Source organism: Homo sapiens, chromosome 17 (assembly GCF_000001405.40).
Source record: "Homo sapiens chromosome 17, GRCh38.p14 Primary Assembly".
Classification (NCBI taxonomy): domain Eukaryota; kingdom Metazoa; phylum Chordata; class Mammalia; order Primates; family Hominidae; genus Homo; species Homo sapiens.
In genome coordinates this window covers 75,204,033-75,223,473 of record NC_000017.11, presented here as the reverse complement: position 1 = coordinate 75,223,473, position 19,441 = coordinate 75,204,033, and the positions used below count along the sequence as shown (strand labels likewise).

At 47.1% G+C, this 19,441-nt stretch overlaps 1 protein-coding gene across 11 annotated transcripts in view, besides 4 other annotated features; it reads right to left on the bottom strand.

Moving 5' to 3' along the window:
* NUP85 (nucleoporin 85) overlaps positions 1–17,795 on the bottom strand; it is a 30,080-nt gene extending 12,285 nt beyond the window's left edge. For 9 of the 11 annotated variants that reach the window (XR_007065462.1, XR_007065461.1, XR_002958072.2 and 6 more), the window contains exons 1-7: positions 17,680–17,795; positions 14,854–14,947; positions 13,489–13,651; positions 11,412–11,482; positions 10,355–10,398; positions 7,651–7,720; positions 5,168–5,289 (exon numbers count right to left, since the gene is read on the bottom strand). Coding sequence is in view for 7 of the 11 variants with exons in the window: in NM_024844.5 (NP_079120.1) it covers positions 5,168–5,289; positions 7,651–7,720; positions 10,355–10,398; positions 11,412–11,482; positions 13,489–13,651; positions 14,854–14,947; positions 17,680–17,712 (597 nt within the window). In the remaining 4 variants the exon portion in view is untranslated. Of the gene's footprint in view, positions 1–5,167; positions 5,290–7,650; positions 7,721–10,354; positions 10,399–11,411; positions 11,483–13,488; positions 13,652–14,853; positions 14,948–17,679 lie in introns of those variants that run through there. The other 2 variants (NM_001303276.2, XM_047436777.1) reach the window with 2 other exon arrangements.
* Positions 15,129–15,696: an enhancer, noted in NCBI's record as "H3K4me1 hESC enhancer chr17:73203873-73204440 (GRCh37/hg19 assembly coordinates)". NCBI's record gives its function as "activates a minimal SCP1, AML or CMV promoter by ChIP-STARR-seq in primed H9 embryonic stem cells {active_cell/tissue: H9 hESC(primed)}" and the evidence as "EXISTENCE:reporter gene assay evidence [ECO:0000049][PMID:30033119]".
* Positions 17,122–18,055: an enhancer, noted in NCBI's record as "H3K27ac hESC enhancer chr17:73201514-73202447 (GRCh37/hg19 assembly coordinates)". NCBI's record gives its function as "activates a minimal SCP1, AML or CMV promoter by ChIP-STARR-seq in naive and primed H9 embryonic stem cells {active_cell/tissue: H9 hESC(naive and primed)}" and the evidence as "EXISTENCE:reporter gene assay evidence [ECO:0000049][PMID:30033119]".
* Positions 17,784–17,963: an enhancer, noted in NCBI's record as "active region_12737". NCBI's record gives its function as "activates an Ori minimal core promoter by ATAC-STARR-seq in GM12878 lymphoblastoid cells {active_cell/tissue: GM12878}" and the evidence as "EXISTENCE:reporter gene assay evidence [ECO:0000049][PMID:35858748]".
* Positions 18,056–18,990: an enhancer, noted in NCBI's record as "H3K27ac hESC enhancer chr17:73200579-73201513 (GRCh37/hg19 assembly coordinates)". NCBI's record gives its function as "activates a minimal SCP1, AML or CMV promoter by ChIP-STARR-seq in primed H9 embryonic stem cells {active_cell/tissue: H9 hESC(primed)}" and the evidence as "EXISTENCE:reporter gene assay evidence [ECO:0000049][PMID:30033119]".

Sequence of the window (19,441 nt, the reverse complement as noted above, 5' to 3'; positions counted from 1 at the left end):
AGAGGTTGCAGTGAGCCAAGATCACGCCACTGCACCCCAGCCTGGGTGACAGAGTGAGACTCCATCTCAAAAATAACATAACATAACATAAAATATACACTCAATGCAAATAGTCTTCACTGTTCAGTCTTTATCTGTGAATCTGCCTACTCACTAAAATTTATCTGTAACCCCCAAATCAGTATTTGTGGTACTTTCAAATCAAAATTAAGAGTGGCAAGAATATTGAGTTGCTTGACACACACTAAACAAGGCTTTCTCGTGATGCAGTTAGTGCCACATTTTTTTCATTTTTGTACATTTTCTTGGGTCCCCACGTGTAGTACTGAAGTGCTTTCTAGTGTTGCTAAGTGCAAGAACTATGGGAGGTGTTAGATAAGCTTCATTCAGACACGAATTATAGTGCTGTTGGCCCTGAGTTTTTTTTTTTTTTTTTTTTTTGAGACAGAGTCTTGCTGTCGCCCAGGCTGGAGTGCAGTGGCGCGATCTCGGCTCACTGCAAGCTCCACTTCCCAGGTTCACGCCATTCTCCTGCCTCAGCCTCCCGAGTAGCTGGGACTACAGGCGCCTGCCACCATGCCTGGCTAATTTTTTGTATTTTTAGTAGAGACGGGGTTTCACTGTGTTAGCCAGGATGGTCTTGATCTCCTGACTTCATGATCCGCCCGCCTCGGCCTCCCAAAGTGCTGGGATTACAGGCGTGAGCCACTGCGCCTGGCTGACTTCACTGTTAATGATTCAACAATATTATGTCAAGTAAGTTGTCTCCAAACAGATACACACATAAAACAAGTGATCGGTTATATATTGATTGGTTGAACAAAATATGACCAGAGGCTTGCAGGAACCTAACCCTGTATTTCCCCTAGGAGCAATGGTTCAATATTCACTAATTCAGTATTCAAGGCACTGCACTCCAGCCTGGGCAACAAGAGCAAAACTCTATCTCAAAAAAAAAAAAAAAAAAAAAAAAAAAAATCACAAATATATAAACATATACATACTGATAACTCCCAACTTTTCCTCTCTAGCCCAAACTTCCTTGTCTGAATTCCAGCTTTGTATATCCAAGTGCCTAGTCAACATCTCCACTTAGATCTTGAATAGGCATCTTAAAACGTAACATGTCGGACAGGCATGGTGCCTCACGCCTGTAATCCCAACACTTTGGGAAGCCAAGGAGGGTGGATTGCTTGGGCCCAGGAGTTTGAGACCAGCCTGGACAACATGGCAAAACCCCGTCTCCACTACAAATACAAAAATTAGTTGGACATGGTGGCACGCCTTTGTAGTCCTGGCTACTTGGGAGGCTTAGGAGGGGAGGATCACCTGAGCTTAGGCGGTCAAGGCTGCAGTGAGCTGTAATCTGACCACTGCACTCCAACATGGGCAACAGAGACTTTGTCTCAAAACAAACAAACAAACAAACAAAACAAAACACACACACACACGAGAGAAACATGTCTAAAATTAAATACCAGTTTGCCTCCAATTCACCAACCTTATCCTCCCACATTCTTCTATTTCTTGCATGCCCACATCAAATCAATCCATCAGCAAACCCCATCAACTCTCTTCAAACATATCTAGCCTACACCACCACCATCTTTTACCTGGCTTAGTACAGCAGAATCCAGACTGGCCTGTTTCCATCCTTGCTGTAGTCTCAACATGGCAGCCAGGACAGCCTTTGGGAACCTAAGTAAGATCTCAGGCTTCCTCTGCTCAGCTCTCCAATGCCCCCTCACCCCATATGGCTTAGAAGTAAAAGACTAGCTTTTACTGTGCATCAACCGTGTCAACTACTTCACCCACATTTATGTCCTTTAACTAATTTAATGATCACAACAGCCCCATGGGACAGGTATTATTATCTCCACTGGACAGATGAGGACCCTTAAGGCCGTTAAGTAGCTCACTCAAGATCTCACACCTAGTGACCGGGCACAGTGGCTCACACCTGTAATCCCAATACTTTGGGAGGCCAAGGCAACAGGACTGCTTGAGGCCAGGAGTTCAAAAAATAAAAAAATTTGGCTGGGCATGGTGGCTCAAGCCTGTAATCCCAGCACTTTGGGAGGCTGAGGCAGGCGGATCACTTGAGGTCAGGAGTTCGAGACCAGCCTGGCCAAAACAGCAAAACCCCATCTCTACTAAAAATAAAAAAATGAGCCAGGCAGGATGGCGAGAGCCTATAATCCCAGCTGAGATCGCCCCACTGCACTCTGGCCTGGGCAACAGAGTGAGACTCTGCCTCAAAAAATAAATAAATAAAAATAAAAAATAATTGGGTTAGCCGGGCGTGGCGGCTCACGCCTGTAAACCCACCACTTTGGGAGGCCAAGGCAGGCAGATCACAAGGTCAGATCGAGACCATCCTGGCTAACATGGTGAAATCCCGTCTCTACTAAACAAAATTAAAAAATTAGCCAGGCGTGGTGGCAGGCGCCCGTGGTCCCAGCTACTCGGGAGGCTGAGGCAGGAGAATGGCATGAACCCGGGAGGCGGAGCTTGCAGCGAGCCGAGATCGTGCCACTGCACTCCAGCCTGGGCAATAGAGCGAGACTCCAGCTAAAAAAAAAAAAAAAAAAAAAATTGGGATGGTGGGATGGAGGGAGGCAGGCAAATCACTTGAGGTCAGGAGTTCAAGACCAGCCTGACCAACATGATGAAACCCCATCTCTACTAAAAATACAAAAAACAAAACAAAACAAAACAAAAACCAGCTGGGCATCATGGCGTATACCTATAATCCCAGCTACTTGGTAGACTGAGACAGAACTGCTTGAACCAGGGAGGCAGAGGTTGCAGTGAACTGAGATAGCGCCACTGCACTCCAGCCTGGGCAACAGAGAAAGACGCCATCTCAAAAAATAAATAAATAAATAAAAACTTTAGCTGGTGGTGGTAACACATGTCTGTGGTCCCAGCTACTTGGGAGGCTAAAGTAGGAGGACCACTGGAGACCTGGAGGCCAAGGCTACAGTGACTGGTGATTGTGCACTGCAGCCTGGGGAACACAGTGAAACTGTATTTAAAAAAAAAAAAAAAGGCCAGGCATGGTGGCTCATGCTGGTAATCCCAGCACTTTGGGAGGCCAAGGTGGGTGAATCACAAGGTCAGGAGTTTGAGACCAGCCTGGCCAATATGGTAAAACCCCATCCCTACTAAAAATACAAAAATTAGCTGGGCATGGTGACGCGCGCCTGTAGTCCCAGCTACTCAGGAGGCTGAGGCAGAAGAATCACTTGAACCCCGGAGGCAGAGGTCGCAGTGAGCTGAGATGGCGCCACTGCACTCCAGCCTAGGTGACAGAGAGAGACTCTGTCTCAAAAAAGGAAAAAAACCCACCTCACAGCTAGTAAAAGGCAGAGCTGGAATGCTAACCCAGGCAGTGTGGCACCACAGACCATGTTGTTAGTCACCCTGCTATGTAGGCTGCAAAAAGCTAAAGTCTCAGTGACAGCCCAGGGGGCTGTCTCAGACCTGGCCTGGTATCGCTCTGTCTTTATCTCCCCAGCTCATCCCTCCCACCTACCCCTACATAGCACAGCCCCTCCTGCCCCACCCTGGCTCTAGAACACAGCATCTACAGGCCCTGCTATCTGGAATGCTTTCTTCAGCCTAGCTCTCCTCACCTCCTTCAGGTCTCACCTCCAATCTCTCATGAGGGAGGCCTTCTTCGATGCCCCTCCAGCACTTGCAGCCTCCCTCCCTTCTTGGCACCTTGGCAGAGCATTTCACTATGTGCCAGGATACATGGTACTAGCCTATGTGTTGCTGTTCTTTCTCCACACACAGGATATAAACTCCATAAAGGCAGGAATCTTTGCCTGTTTTAGTCATGGTGTCTCCTTGGTGCCTTGCAAATAGTAGGGACTCAATAAATACTCAGTGAATGACCAGGAATGGTGGCTCACACTTGCAGTTCCAACACTTTGGGAGGCCAAGGTGGAAGGATTGCTTGAGCCCAGGAGTTCAAGACCAGCCTGGGTAATACAGTGAAACCTCACCTCTACAAAAAATAAAACTAGCCAGGCGTAGTGGTGTGCGCCTGTAGTCCCAGCCACTCAGGAGGCTGAGGTGGGAGGATTGCTTGAGCCCAGGAAATCAAAGGTGCATTGTGCCATGATCGCATCACTGCACTCCCGCCCAGGCCGCAAAGCGAAACCCTGTCTCTAAACGACAACAACAAACCTTAGCGAATCAATCAGAGACTCAAACATTTGGCCCACTACTTCCTGTGAGCCACCGTGCCGGGCCGAATTCCAGGTTTTCTTTTCTTTTCTTTTTTTTTGTCCTCACAATCTGTTCCCAATTTCAGGCTTTATAAGTTTAGTTGACTTTCCATTAGCCCAGTCAACTAGCGATCTCCTCCCTGCCACCTCCCAATTGGGTCAGTCAGCAGAGGTGAATGGAAATACCTAACACATAGAAAATACATCCATATACACATATACGACATGCTGACTTCGAAACTGATGATCCAAAGTAATGTGCAAGCTCATTTACATCCAACCCTGTATGCACCCCAGCCCCTGTCAATTGGTTTTATATCATTACCCAGGCATGGTGGTTGGCACTTGTGGTCCCAGCTACTTGAGAGGCTGAGGTGGTAGGACCGCACAGGAGGCGGAGGTTGCAGTGAGCAAGATCAGGCCACTGCACAACAGCCTGGGGAACAGAGTCGGACTATCTTTTCTCTTTTATATTTTTATTTATTAATTTGTTTTGAGATGGAGGGTCTCACTTTGTTGCCCAGGCTAATCTCAAACTCCTGGGCTCAAGAGATTCCTGACTTGGCCTCCCAAAGTGCTGGCTGGAATTACAGGCATGAGCCACCGCACCCAGCCGAGACCCTGTCTCAAAAAAAAAAAAAAAAAAACGGTTTTGTATTCCTTTTTGTGTCTTCTCTTCCTTAGATCCACAAAGAAATCAAATTTCCTTTTACCCTGGAAAAGTCTTCAAAGCATTATTTTTCTTACATGGTACCTCGGTTTTAGACTCTCCCATAGAGCAGGGAAGAAAAGATCCAAAAGAGTCTCCATAGTAACAGACTCCAAAAGCCAGCCTACTGCTGGAGGCTCAGTGGGTGTCCTCAGACCCACCCGGCAGCACCAGGGACAGTAGGACACATGGTGGGAGGTGGGGGCCCGGCCTGTCTTACCAAGTTCCAGAAGCTGTCATGTTTGCTTGGATTCTCACTGCCCAGAACATCTGCCGACAAACTGTCCACCTCGCACACATGGAGCCGGACCCAGTCAAGGAGATGGAGGAGGAGAGGGCCAGCTGGGAGGAGAGACTCTCATCACACACAAAAGCCTCAGCTTCATCTGCAGCAAGTTCCTTTATCCAAGGAACAGAGAACTTTAAGGCAGACAAGCTGACTACATAGGTTTATCCCTTTTAAGCAGTCACACACATGGTCCTGAATGACAGACTGTGCTAGGAAAAAGCAAATGCACTTTCACCAAATATTACTTCTGTGCCAGGCAGCTCCATCTTTAACTGACCCCAGAAAGGGGTGAACATGGAATGCAGACCTCACTACCCCACACTCCAGATTCTTCACAAATACTTAATAGCTACATAAGTAATGGCCGTTTAGGAACCAACAATGACTAGATAGCAAGCAGCCAGGTATGCAATGATGATAAAAACATAGGGCCAGGGGGCTGGTGGTGCACACCTGGAATCCCAGCACTTTCGGAGGCTAAGGCAGGTGGATCATCTAAGCTCAGGAGTTCAAGACCAGCCTGGACAACATGGTGAAACCCTGTCTCTACTAAAAATACAAAAATTAGCCGGGCGTGGTGGCGCATGCCTGTAATTCCAGCTACTCAGGTGGCTAAGGCAGAATTGCTTGAACCCAGGAGGCAGAGGTTGCAGTGAGCCAAGATCGCACAACTGCACTCCAGCCTGGGTGACGGAGTGAGACTCTGTCTCAAAAAACAAAACAAAACAAAACATATGGCCGGGCATGGTAGTTCATGTCTGTAATCCCAGCACTTTGGGAGGCTGAGGCAGGCAGATCGCTTGAGCCCAGGAGTTTGACACTAGGCTGGGCAACATAGGGAGACCCCATCTCTACAAAAAAAAATAAAAAATTAGCCGAGCCAGGAATGGTGGCTCACGCCTATAATCCCAGCATTTTGCGAGGCCAAGATGGGCAGACTGCTTGAGCCCAAGAGTTCAAGAACAGCCCGGGCAACATAGCGAAATTTCCTCTCCACAAAAAATACAAAAATTAGCCGGGCGTGGTGGTGCAGGCCTGTGGTCCCAGCTACTTGGGAGGCTGGGCAGGAGGATTGCTTGAGCCCAGGAAGTCGAGGCTTCTGAGCTGTGATCACGCCACTGTACTCCAGCATGGGTGACAGAGCAAGACCCTGTCTCCCCTCCCCCAGCATATACACACAAAAAATTAGCCTAGCATGGTGGCACGTGCCTGTAGTCCCAGCTACTCAGGAGGCTGAGACAGGAGGATCGCTTGAGCCTGGGAGGTCCAGACTGCAATAGCTGTGATTGTACCACCACACTCCAGCCTAAGTGACAGAGTGAGAACTTGTCTCAATCAATCAATAAAAATAAAATGAAATAAAATGGCAGAGTACAGCCAGCACTCCGTATCCATGATGTAGAACCTGCAGATACAAAGAGCCAACTGTAACCTCCTCAAAAATCCACTGGAGAAGGGAGGCCTCTGAACAACCAACTCTAATTTCAAGTTCCTCACTTCTTTAGTGAGAGTATGAATAAAATGCTAGGGCTACACAGAGGTTACTACTCATTTATGGAAAATAGCAAACATAAATCCTTAAAAGAAATGCAAAAAAGCTGCAGCAGATCCACAGAGAGCTCATACAGGCCATGACACTATACTGACCACAGTTTAATTCAAGATCAACAGAAGGCTGGGCACGGTGGCTCACACCTGGAATCCCTGCACTTTGGGAGACCGAGGCAGGCAGATTACCTGAGGTTGGGAGTTCGAGACCAGCCTGACCAACATGGAGAAACCTCATCTCCACTAAAAATACAAAATTAGCCAGGCGTGGCAGCGCATGTCTGTAATCCCAGCTACTCAGGAGGTTGAGGCAGGAGAATCGCTTGAACCCAGGAGGTGGAGGTTGCGGTGAGCTGAGATCACGCCATTGCACTCCAGCCTGGGCAACAAGAGTGAAACTCTGTCTCAAAAAAAAAAAAAGATCAACAGAAAAATTCCCATTGGCAGAGTTCATACCCATTGGCAGAGTTAACACACAGAGTTGCCCTGTCCCAATGATTCATGACAGAATTCCCAATGTGACTTTGCCTCTCACCACCTAATCCTACCCCACATTCATAAAACTTTCTTAAGCTTGGCCAGTCCATGATGTTAACACTGACACCCCCTTTCACACACTAGTTTAATATTTCTCAGTACTTGTCAGGGTTTAGGTTTCTTGGAGGCACTCTGCATGATTCTTTTTGCAGCACCTGACAAAACGGTCAGGTTTCTTTGGGTGTTTTCTAACGACTTCCCGTGGTTATAATGATGGAAAGAACATTCTCAGGAATAAAACACTCATCACCATGCACAGGAAAGATGAGGAAAGAGCAGAAGATGGAAGGGGACACCTATGAGATTATGGTGAGATATTCCATGCCTACCTGGGGCCACTTCAATAAAAAGAATCTCACACAGGTTCCAGATGAGCTCCATTGCTGACAAAATGGAGACCTAAGGAAGAAATGGGGACAGGTTTCACCTGAAATGATTCCTGAGCTTTGCTCTCAGAGCCAAGGGATAAAGCAGACTTTGACTCATATGACAGTCATTCCTTAACCCAAAGGTTACTGCAATCCTACTGGAGGATTTCCCACAGGGGAGCCAGCGTGAGGATGTTAGGTGGTGGGATGGAGACCAACACTATTTTGTTTTAGTGGTTGTGATTTTATTTTACTGTGCATTACAAAAATAACTTGGCCAGGTGCAGTGGCTCATTCCTGTAATCCCAGCACTTTGGGAGGCCAAGGCAGGTGGAATGCTTGAGTCTAGGAGTTTGAGACCAGCTTGAGCAACATGGCAAGATCCTGTCTCAACAAAAAATATAAAAATTGGCCAAGTGTAGTGACATATCCCCGCAGTCTCAGCTACTCAGGAGGCTGAGGTGGGAGCATCACTTGAGCCCAGGAAGTTGAGTCTGAGTGAGCCATAATCGTGCCACTATTCCAGCCTGGGCAAGAGCGAGACCTTGTCTCAAAATTTAAAAAAAGAAAAAATATAACTTGCATGTCACCAGTTATTATTTATTTATCTTTTGAGATGGAGTTTGGCTCTTGCTGCCCAAGCTAGAGTGCAGTGGCATAATCTTGGCTCACTGCAACTTCCGCCTCCCGGGTTCAAGTGATTCTCCTGCCTCAGCCTCCCCAGTAGCTGGGATTACAGGCGCCTGCCACCATGCCCAGCTAATTTTTTGTATTTTTAGTAGAGACGAGGTTTCACCTTGTTAGCCAGGAAGGTCTCGATCTCCTGACCTCGTGATACACCTGCCTCGGCCTCCCAAAGTGCTGGGATTACAGGCTTGAGCCACCGTGCCCTGCCAACACTCAGTTTTTGTTTTTTGTTTTTTTTTTTGAGACAGAGTCTCACTCTGTCAGTCAGGCTGGAGTGCAGTGGCATGATCTCGGCTCACTGCAACCTCTGCCTCCAGGGTTCAAGCAATTCTCCTGCCTCAGCCTCCCAAGTGGCTGGGATTACAGGCGCACACCACCACGCCTAGCTAAATATTGTATTTTTAGTAGAGATGGAGTTTCCGTGTTGGCCAGGCTAGTTTCGAACTCCTAACCTCAAGAGATCCACCCACCTCGGCCTCTCAAAGTGCTGGGATTACAGGCGTGAGCCACTGCGCCCAGCCTATCTTGATGAACTGATGCTTTAGCAAGGTGCTTCATTTGAGTAAAAAGAAGAGACAATATTTAGAAGAATATTCAGTAGATGACATGAAACACGTAGACAGAGCAAGAATTGTGAAGCTGGTATTCAAAGGACTGAAGTTTAGGGGAACAGTCTATTAACGGGAAAGCCCAATATAAGACCCCGAAATAAATCAGACCTGGACCTTGCCCTTAGGAATACGCAGGCTTCCCTTCCTCACCATCCTTCAGTCCACAGACACCATGATGACTTGTTCATAAGGGTACTTCAGAGACAGTGAATTACTACCTAGTCACTACTGACTTTGAAAAGTATCTAATATGAAGCATCTACTGAGGAAAAAGATACTGTAAGTCATCTTCCAGCTCCAAGTAAAGTAGAGCCACTTGCAACTCAGTAAAAATGTTGAGTTTAGCCGGGCGCAGTGGCTCACACTTGTAATCCCAGCACTTTGGGAGGCTGAGGCAGGCAGATCACGAGGTCAGGAGATCGAGAGCATCCTGGCTAACACGGTGAAACCCCCTCTCTACTAAAAATACAAAAAATTAGCCCAGCTACTCGGGAGGCTGAGGCAGGAGAATGGCATGAACCTGGGAGGCGGAGCTTGCAGTGAGCCGAGATCGCGCCACTGCATTCCAGCCTGGGCGACAGAGAGAGACTCCGTCTCAAAAAAAAAAAAAAAAAAAAAAAAAAACTTGAGTTTTGCCAGGTGTGGCAGCTCACACCTATAATCCCAGCACTTTGGGAGGCCAAGGCAGGAGGATCACTTGAGCCCAAGAGTTCGAGACCAGCTTTGACAACACAGAGAGACCCTGTCTTTCAAAAAAAAAATGTTGAGTTCAAGAAGTGAGGAGTGTTTATGAGACCGAGCAGTGATCTCACAAGATTACTTCTCCATTTCAGGTGACAACCCCTCAACACAATTTGGTCAGGACATATATGTTCCATAAGAACGGAACATTCAGGGCCAGCACGGTGGCTTACACCTGTAATCCCACCACTTTGGGAGGTCGAGGCGGGTGGATCACTTGAGGTCAAAAGTTCAAGACCAGCCTGGCCAACATGGTGAAACCCCATCTCTACTAAAAATGCAAAAAGTAGCTGGGCTTGGTGTGGCATGCACCTATAATCCCAGCTACTCGGGAGGCTGAGACAGGAGAAATGCTTGAACCCAGGGCACTCCAGCCTGGGTGACAGAGCAAGACTCCATCTCAAAAAAAAAAAAAAGGAACCGAACATTCACTCAAGTATTTAACAAGCACTTCCTTGTGAGCTACACCTTGAAGGGGGCAAGACAATCACTGTCACCCAAAGGAGCTGCCTATCTACCTGAAAAGAAGAGACTTCTGCCATAACAGGAACTGCAAAGCCACCCCAGGTGGGTGCCCAGGACACAGGACACAGTGGTGCTAAAACAATAAAGGTGACTCCCCTTACCTGGCTGCTGAACTGGCGGCCATTGGCTGGATCTTTAGCAGCAACTAACAAAACACAAAACATTTTAAGTGAGCAATGGAACTCTTAGGCTTATTGTCATAGCTGAATATTCCAGGGTCTATGGCTTGAGCCTCTGTTTATTTTAATGAGAAAAATTAAAAGACATTATAATCTCTTTTAATTATGGATTTTTTTGTTGCTGTTAATGCTTCATATCCCTTCAATTCTCAAACCAAAAGCCCTCAAGTTACAAAATGGCACTTTCAACTGCAACACAGCTACCATAAAGGTCTCTGACATGCCAAGCACAGTGGCTCACACCTGTAATCCCGACACTTTGGGAGGCTGATGTCAAAGGACTGCTTGAGCCCAGGAGTTCAAGAACAGCCTGGAAAAATTAGGGAGACCCCGTTTCTACAAATAATTTAAAAATTATCAGAACAAAGTTCTCTGAGGAAAACTGGACAAAAACTGTTTAAATTAGCTGGGCATGGTAGTACACACCTGCAGTCCCAACTACTTGGAAGGATGAGGTAGGAAGATCACTTGAGCCCAGGCGGTGAGCTCATGACTGCAGTGAGCCATAATGTTTCTTTGCACTCCAGCCTGGGCAACCTTGTCTCAAAAAAAAAAAAAAAAAAAAAAAAAAACTCCAGGCACAGTGGCTGACTCCTGTAATCCCAGAACTCTGGGCTTGGTGGTGTACAACTGTAGTCCCAGCTACTCAGGAGGCTGAGGCTAGAGAATCGTTTGAACCTGGGAGGTGGAGGTTGCAGTGACCTGAGTTCATGCCACAGCACCTCAGCCTGGGCGACAGAGCAACACTCGGTCTCAAAAAAAAAAAAAAAAAAAAAAAAAAAAAAAAAAAAAAACAACAACAAAAAAAAAAACCTCTAAATGATTACCAAAAAAGTAAGGATTATGAAAGATGGAAAAATAAGTTTTGGACTGGAATATCAATCAAACTTTACCTCACAGTATTTATGCATAGATAAATACTCAAAATACCCACACACACACACACACACACACGCGCGCACGCGCACACAGTCCTTACTTGCAACCTGGTGCATTTCCTCCATACATGCTCTGATGACTGATCGGTAGTTTTTACTCACTCGAACCAATCTACAAAAAATGAAATAACACACAAGATGAGCCTGGAACATCTTGTAGTGCCACAAAGGAAGGAAACACTCAAATAAATGCAGAAATTTGCTGAAAGAAAGAGGAGAGCCGTTGTGAAGGAGCTCCTAACCTTCTGAAGCTGGAACAACTTGGACAACAAAATAAAACGCCACAAAACAACCCATGGGCTAAAGTTAATATCCACAAACCCATACTGCCATTAATTGTTGCAGATGAAATCTACTGGTCAGACCTTGTCTCAAAAAAATAAAAAAGATACATAAATGTATTTACTGGCCAGGCCCGGTGGCTCAGGCGTGTAATCCCAGCACTTTGGGAGGTGAAAGTGGGCAGATCACCTGAGGTCAGGTGTTTGAGACCAGCCTGGCCAACCTGGTGAAACCCTGTCTCTACTAAAAATACAAAAATCCCAGCTACTCAGGAGGCTGAGGCAGGAGAATCTCTTGAACCCGGCAGGCGGAGGTTGCAGTGAGCCAAGATCATGCCATTGCACTCCAGCCTGGGCGACAGAGTGAGACTCCATCTGAAAAAAAAAAAAAAAGAATAAGACAGGGTCCCCTGCCAGCAAGGAATTACAGGACTTTTGACATGTTTTTTTCCTAGAAGTGACAATAGATTTCTCAAACTCACCAATATTCTCCACTAGAGTCCCTTAAATCCAATAATCAGGCCAGGTGCAGTGGCTCACTCCTATAATCCCAGCACTTTGGGACGCTGAGGTGGGCAGATCACTTGAGGTCAGGAGTTCAAGACCAGCCCAGCCAAAATGATGAAACCCCATCTCTACTAAAAATGCAAAAATTAGCCAGGCGTGGTGGCACGCACCTGTAATCCCAGCTACTCAGGAGGCTGAGGCAGGAGAATGGCTTCAACCCAGGAGGCAGAGGCTGCAGTGGGCCAAGATTGCGCCACTGCACTCCAGCCTGGGTGACAGAGTGAAACTCTGTCTCAAAAAAAAAAAAAAAAACAGGGCCAGGCACAGTGGCTCACGTCTGTAATCCCAGCACTTTGGGAGGCCGAAGCAGGTGGATCACGAGGTCACGAGATCGAGACCATCCTGGCTAACACGGTGAAACCCCGTCTCTACTAAAAATACAAAAAATTAGCCGGATGTGGTGGCAGGCGCCTGTAGTCCCAGCTACTCGGGAGGCTGAGGCAGGAGAATGGCGTGAATCCAGGAGGCAGAGCTTACAGTGAGCGGAGAACGCGTCACTGCACTCCAGCCTGGGTGACAGAGCGAAACTCTGCCTCGAAAAAAAACAGAAAAACAACCAATAATCACTCTTGCACACACTCACACAGAAGCTGACCTGAGTCTTGTCCAGAATGATTCATTTGTGAAAAGCTTATCAAAGAAGTAACATACCAACACTGCCCATTCCCTAGCCATCCATGTGAAGGGACGCTGACAAAAATCTAACACAGGAGTTCTTAAACTTCAGTGTGCTGGAGATTTTAAGATCCAACCACGGAGATTTTGATTTTGATGATCTGAGGTGGGTCCCAAAAGTCTACAATTAACAAGTACCACTCTGATAATGATGAAGTTATGAACTACAATTCAAGAAAATCCTAATCTATAAATAGTACGAGAGTTTTCTGGTCTGTTGTCAAATAACGTCTGAACCATAATTTTTTAGAGACAAAACTGTTAGGTTTATATTAATTTTCAAATCTCCCAACAATGTGACCTCATTCAACGACTCTCACATGCTTGTGTGGCCTAAATTTTCTTCTTTAGAGGCTAAGTAAAATATGAATATAAATAAAGCTTGTCAAGCCAGCCCATCAATAGCATTTGCATATTCCCGCTAAGTCTTCCCATCACTGCTAATGTACACTGTCCAGTACTCATGCCTCAACTAGAACCAGGAGTCTCTTATTTCTTTACGCAACCCATAAAACACACAAAAAGACAACAATGTACTTCATTTGGCTTTCCACAGTGTAGTGTGGGCTTCAACACCAAACAGCAACCAACTTACTGAGATTTTCTGGATTTTCCAGTCAACTCTTCGTCAATTCTCTGGAGGCCCAGAAAGATTCCATGGGATTCATTGAAGAGTTTTCTCAAGATTTGAGAGTAAACATCTACATCCTTACGGATGATATAGATAAAGGGGCAACTTGGCACCATCTCTGATTTTTCTGAAACCAAACAGAAAAAAAAAATTTAACATCTATTATGATCATCTCCAAAAGTGAATCTACTCTAAAAAAATTTTCTGTGGCCGGGCATGGTGGCTCTTGCCTATAATCCCAGCACTTTGGGAGGCCAAGGCAGGCAGATCACGAGGTCAGGAATTCGAGACCAGGCTGGCCAACATAGCAAAACCCTGTCTCTACTAAAAATACAAAAATTAGCTGGGCGTGGTGGCACATGCCTTCATTCCCAGCTACTCAGGAGACTGAGGCAGGAGAATTGCTTCAAACCGGGAGGCGGAGGTGGCAGTGAGCCGAGATCACACCACTGCATTCCAGCCTGGACAGAGCGAGACTCCGTCTCAAAAAAAAAAAAAAAAAAAGAAAGCAAATCAAATGTCAAGATTCCAGTTTTATCCTTCTACTGGAAGGAGACTGTATCACTGTATCAGGAAAAGAAAAAGATTCACATCCTATCCAATAGCTGATGGAACTCAGGAAAATCAAGCCAAGGACAAGCTATGTCACTCTCCAGCTCCATCTGTGCCTTGGATGCTACGGCTCAGCTCAGCCTACAGAACTATTATTCAGCTGAATCCATGCTGTGGACACAAAAGTGACGGCCAAGCATCTGCAAGGTTCACAATAAGGGAGCTACTGATAGGAATTTGGTCACTTTGGACAAAGAAAAAGGGATAAAAAGCTTGACATTTTAAATATGAAGAAAATTTTTCATGAAAACTATTAATTTTTTTCCGGGATTCAACATCTTCAAGATCTCAAAAATCAATGAAAATCTAAAATAGCTAACATTTCAAAAATAAAAATGCCAAAATGCAACAGGATCGCTTGAGGCCAGGAGTGCGAGACCAGCCTAGGCAACAAAATGAGACTCCCATCTCTACAAAGAAAAAAAAATTAGCTGGGCGTGGTGGCATGGTGACCTGTAGTCTCAGCTACTAGGAAGACTGAGGCAGAGGATCACTTGAGCCCAAGAGGTAGAGGCTGCAGTGAGCCATGATCACACTGTACTCCAGCCCAGGTGACACAACAAAACCCTGTTGTATCTTGAAAACAAAATAGAGAAAATTAAAATAGTACAAAATAAATTCAACTGTTTCAGTCCACAACTAGTAAAATCTGAGGTAATAAACAGAAAAACAACCAAATGTGCCAAGATGGATAATTTGGAAGAAAAAAAACCCTACCTTTTTTGTTGAAGGAGGTTTCACATACCAGCATCTCCCCTGGACCCCAGTCAAAATACATTTGGTTCTTCTTGGAATTCACGCCTGGAATCAACTAGTAAAATAAGGCATAGAAATCTAAAATGAAAAATGTTCTTCTTACTGAAGTTGTTCCATTCTTTTTTTTTTTTTTTTTTTTTTGAGACAAAGACTCACTCTAACAGGCTGGTGTACAGTGGTGTAATCTCAGCTTGCTCCAATCGCCGCCTCCTGGGTTCAAAGGCTTCTCCTGCCTCAACCTCCTGAGTAGCTGGGACTACAGGTGTGTGCAACCACACCCGGCTATTTTTTTTTTTTTTTTCATTTTTAGTAGAGATAGAGTTTCACCATATTGCCCAGGCTGGTCACAAACTCCTGAGTTCAGGTGATCCGTCCGCCTCAGCCTCCCAAAGTGCTAGGACTACAGGCGCGAGCCACCGTGCCCGCCCTGCTGAAAAACACTTTAAGTGAAGAGCACAGCTGGTCCTCTAATAACACTGTATCCTTCAATAACATTTCCTTATAACACTGGTAAGAAAAATTCATTTTGGGCCGGCAGCGGGGTGGCTCCTGCCAGCACTTTGGGAGGCTAAGGCGGGCAGATCATCTGAGGTCAGGAGTTCGAACTCTTGTTGCCCAGGCTGGACTGCAGTGACGCAATCTCGACTCACTGCAACCTCTGCCTGCTGGGTTCAAGTGATTCTCCTGCCTCAGCTTCTTGAGTAGGTGGGATTACAGGCACGCGCCACCAAACCAGGCTAATTTTTGTATTTTTTTAGTAGAGATGGGGTTTCACCATGTTGGCCAGGTTGATCTCGAACTCCTAGCCAAGCGCGGTGGCTCATGCCTGTAATCCCAGCACTTTGGGAGGCCGAGGCAGGCTGATCACGAGGTCAGGCTTTGGAGACCAGCCTGACCAAGATGGTGAAACCCCATCTCTACCAAAAATACAAAAATTAGCTGGGTGTGGTGGCACGCACCTGTAATCTCAGCTACTCAGGAGACTGAGGCAGAAGAATCGCTTGAACCCAGGAGCCAGAGGTTGCAGTGAGCTGAGATCACGCCACTGCACTCCACTCTGGGTGACAGAGTGAGAATCCGTCTCAAAAAAAGAATGAGGCCAGGCGCAGTGGCTCACACTTGTAATCCCAGCACTTTGGGAGACTGAGGCCGGCAGATCACCTGAGGTCAGGAGTTCCAGACCAGCCTGACCAACATGGAGAAACCTCGTCTCTACTAAAAAAATACAAAATTAGCCGGGCATGGTGGCACATGCCTGCAATCCCAGCTACTCAGGAGGCTGAGGCAGGAGAATTGCTTGAACCTGGGAGGCGGAGGTTGCAGAGAGCCGAGACCGCACCACTGCACTCTAGCCTGGGCGACAAGAGGGAAACTCCGCCTCAAGAGAAAAAAAAAAGAAGGCCACATATCTCCCCAGAGAGCTTCCCTCACAAATTGCTCACAAGGAAATTCCTTGTGAGCCTCTAAAATTTTCAGGATACACATCGCCCCTATAAACTAGTCCTAAAATCAAGATCTGTTGATTCTGACAATGTCAACTACCAGCTTATCTTCACAAGTAAAAGACCAGAAATCGGCCGGGTGCGGTGGCTCACGCCTGTAATCCCAGCACTTTGGGAGGCCGAGGTGGGCGGATCACGAGGTCAGGAGATTGAGACCATCCTGGCCAACACGGTGAAACCCCGTCTCTACTAAAAATACAAAAAAGTACAAAAAATTAGCCGGGCGTGGTGGCGGGCACCTGTAGTCCCAGCTACTCAGGAGGCTGAGGCAGGAGAATGGTGTGAACCCGGGAGGCGGAGGTTACAGTGAGCCGAGACCGCGCCACTGCACTCCAGCCTGGGAGACAGAGCGAGACTCCGTCTAAAAAATAACAGTAATAATAACCATAATCCCTCTACCTACCCTGAGATGAATGCATACATAAAATTTTCCTCTGCTCCCTCTTTTCACAGGTAAAATGCAGATTTACTGAGGCTAATCACCGACTCACAAGAATGTAATCATTTGCCTCCTCACTGCCTAACCTCCCTTTTTTGCCCCTCCTGCTAGCTCCTTCCTCTTTAACTAGTGATGTTCCCAAAACCATCTTTGGAAAAAGCACAGGTCTCAGATCCTCCTGTGACCTGTGCTTTTTCCCGGTTGGATCCTCAACCTTAGCTAATTAAACCTTTATCGGTTGAGACCTGCCTCAGTCACTTCTGGTTAACAAGAGGGAAAACAAGAGCAATCCAACTAGCAGAAACGGTAGGTATCTCGTACATAAAGCGCGTGAATTTTTTTTATACACATCACAGATCATCCACAGTTGACATACTGTCTTCAAAGTTCAAATGGAATTGAATGCACAGCGATAAAACAGGAATAGTCTCCTGAGATAATACGTTGAATAAACCTTAGGCCACACAGGCAGAAGCTCAATGTGCCGCGATGCAGAGCTTAATACGGCTGGAATAAAAATATAAATTCCTCTGCTTGGGCTGAACCCACTCTAATGCCCAAGAGGAAAAGCAAGGGAAGTAAAAAGGCCAGGAACACAAAGGAAGGAAAGGGACGGAGTGGGACCTTCGAGGCCGGGGTTTGTGACTGGTGGCAGAAACCCCGCGACCACTGCGACCCTAGGGCGGGCACCTCGTTAACACTGCGACCTCCGGAAAAGTGGCAACTGAGTCGAGGGAAGGGGACGAGCGCCTCGCGACCACTAGGGAAGCAGACAAGCCTGAAGTAACTAAGCAGACGCAGTTCTCAACCCGCAAGGACGAGCAAGCCTGTTCGGGGTACCCTTACAGTGACTGTTGGCTCGCCATCGAGCTCCTCCATAGCGCCGAACCCCAGGCTCCTAGAAGTCGCTCGGACGCCAATGCTTCCCGCTCAGGCCTCCCGCTCAGAGCTGGCTGCGAGACAAGACTCCGCCTGGGCGTCTCCTGCAGCGCCTGCAAGCCCAAACCCTCAGTGCTGCGGCGCTGTCTCCTCTCAGCCACGGCCACCCCTCTGCGGTCCTCTGCACGCGTCCTTCCTTCCTGGCGTCGACAGCAAATCAGGGAAAACAGCGCCGAGGACTGACTGCACTCAGAGTACCGCGCTAACAGGATCAGGCGGCGCCGGGGACACCCTGGTGCCGAGCGGAGAAAAGGCCCCCGGAGACGGCGGGAGGGGCAGGAGGACCCCGGGGCTGGAGACGGTGCGAATGCGCGTGCGTAGGCTGGGGCGGCGGCACTTGGGTGGGAACTCGTGCGGGATTTAGGTCCCAGTAAGCGTACAACGTCTCCCAACTCTGGGAGTCCTCGCTACATCCCGGTCTCCACCTTAGTGTCGTCGCAGCCACTTGTCCAAACCCCGACAGTCAAACGGGCTTGTGCTGGAAAGCAATCGCCTCCACTTCCACACTAGAACACACACAAGAGGCACGGGAACAAAATCGATACCCCTGAAGGCCCGGCGCTGTGGCTCAAGCCTCTAATCCCAACACTTTGGCAGCCCAAGGTGGGTGGATCACTGGAGTTCAGGAGTTCAAGACCAGTCTGGCCAATATGATGAAACCTCGTCTCTACTAAAAATATAAAAAATTAGACGGGCGTGGTGGCGGACACCTGTAATTCCAGCTACTCGGAAGGCTGAGGCAAGAGAATTGTTCCAACCCGGGAGGTGGAGGTTGCATTGAGCCAAGATCGCACCACTGCACTCCAGCCTGGGAGACAGAGCGAGACTCCGTCTCAAAAAAAAAAAAAAAAATTAGCTGTGCTTGGTAGCGCGCGCCTGTAATCCCAGCACTCCGGGACGCCGAGGTGGTTGGATCACCTGAGGTCAGGAGTTCAAGACCAGCCTGGACAACATGGCGAAACCCCGTCTCTACTGAAAATACAAAAATTAGCCGGGAGTGGTGGCGGACACCTGTAATCCCAGCTACTCGTAAGGCTGAGGCAGGAGAATTGTTCCAACCCGGGAGGCGGAGGTTGCAGTGAGCCAAGATCGCGCCACTGCACTCCATCCTGGGCGACAGACGGAGACTCCGTCTCAAAAAAAAAAAAATTATTTTGCTGAGTCTCAAAAAAAAATTATTTTGCTCTTTTTCTCTTAATAAGTTTCCGTTATACCTCAAGTTGGAGTTATCGCCTGTGTAATTGAAAACTTTTCCAGAGTTAAATACAGTTTGAGAGTTAACCACTCTAGAGAGAGGAAGGGGAAAAGAGAGGGGAAGGAGCCACACTCTTTTAGAGAGAGGGGAGGAGAGGAAAGAGAAAAATAAGTTGTAAGATAATTGTTTCATTTTTCCAACCGTTTTCCATTAGGATTAACTGAAAAAGAAGGATACATAAACTACTTCATCAAAACCTTATTCTTAGAAATCTATAGAAAGGTTGAGGAAGGAAAAGGTCCATATATAGTATGCGTAATCAGTATATAGAACAAGGATAGGCCGGGCGCGGTGGCTCACGCCTGTAATCTCAGCGCTTTGGGAGGCCGAGGCGGGTGGATCACCAGGTCAGGAGAGAGAGACCATCCTGGCTAACACGGTGAAACCCCATCTCTACTAAAAATACAAAAAAAA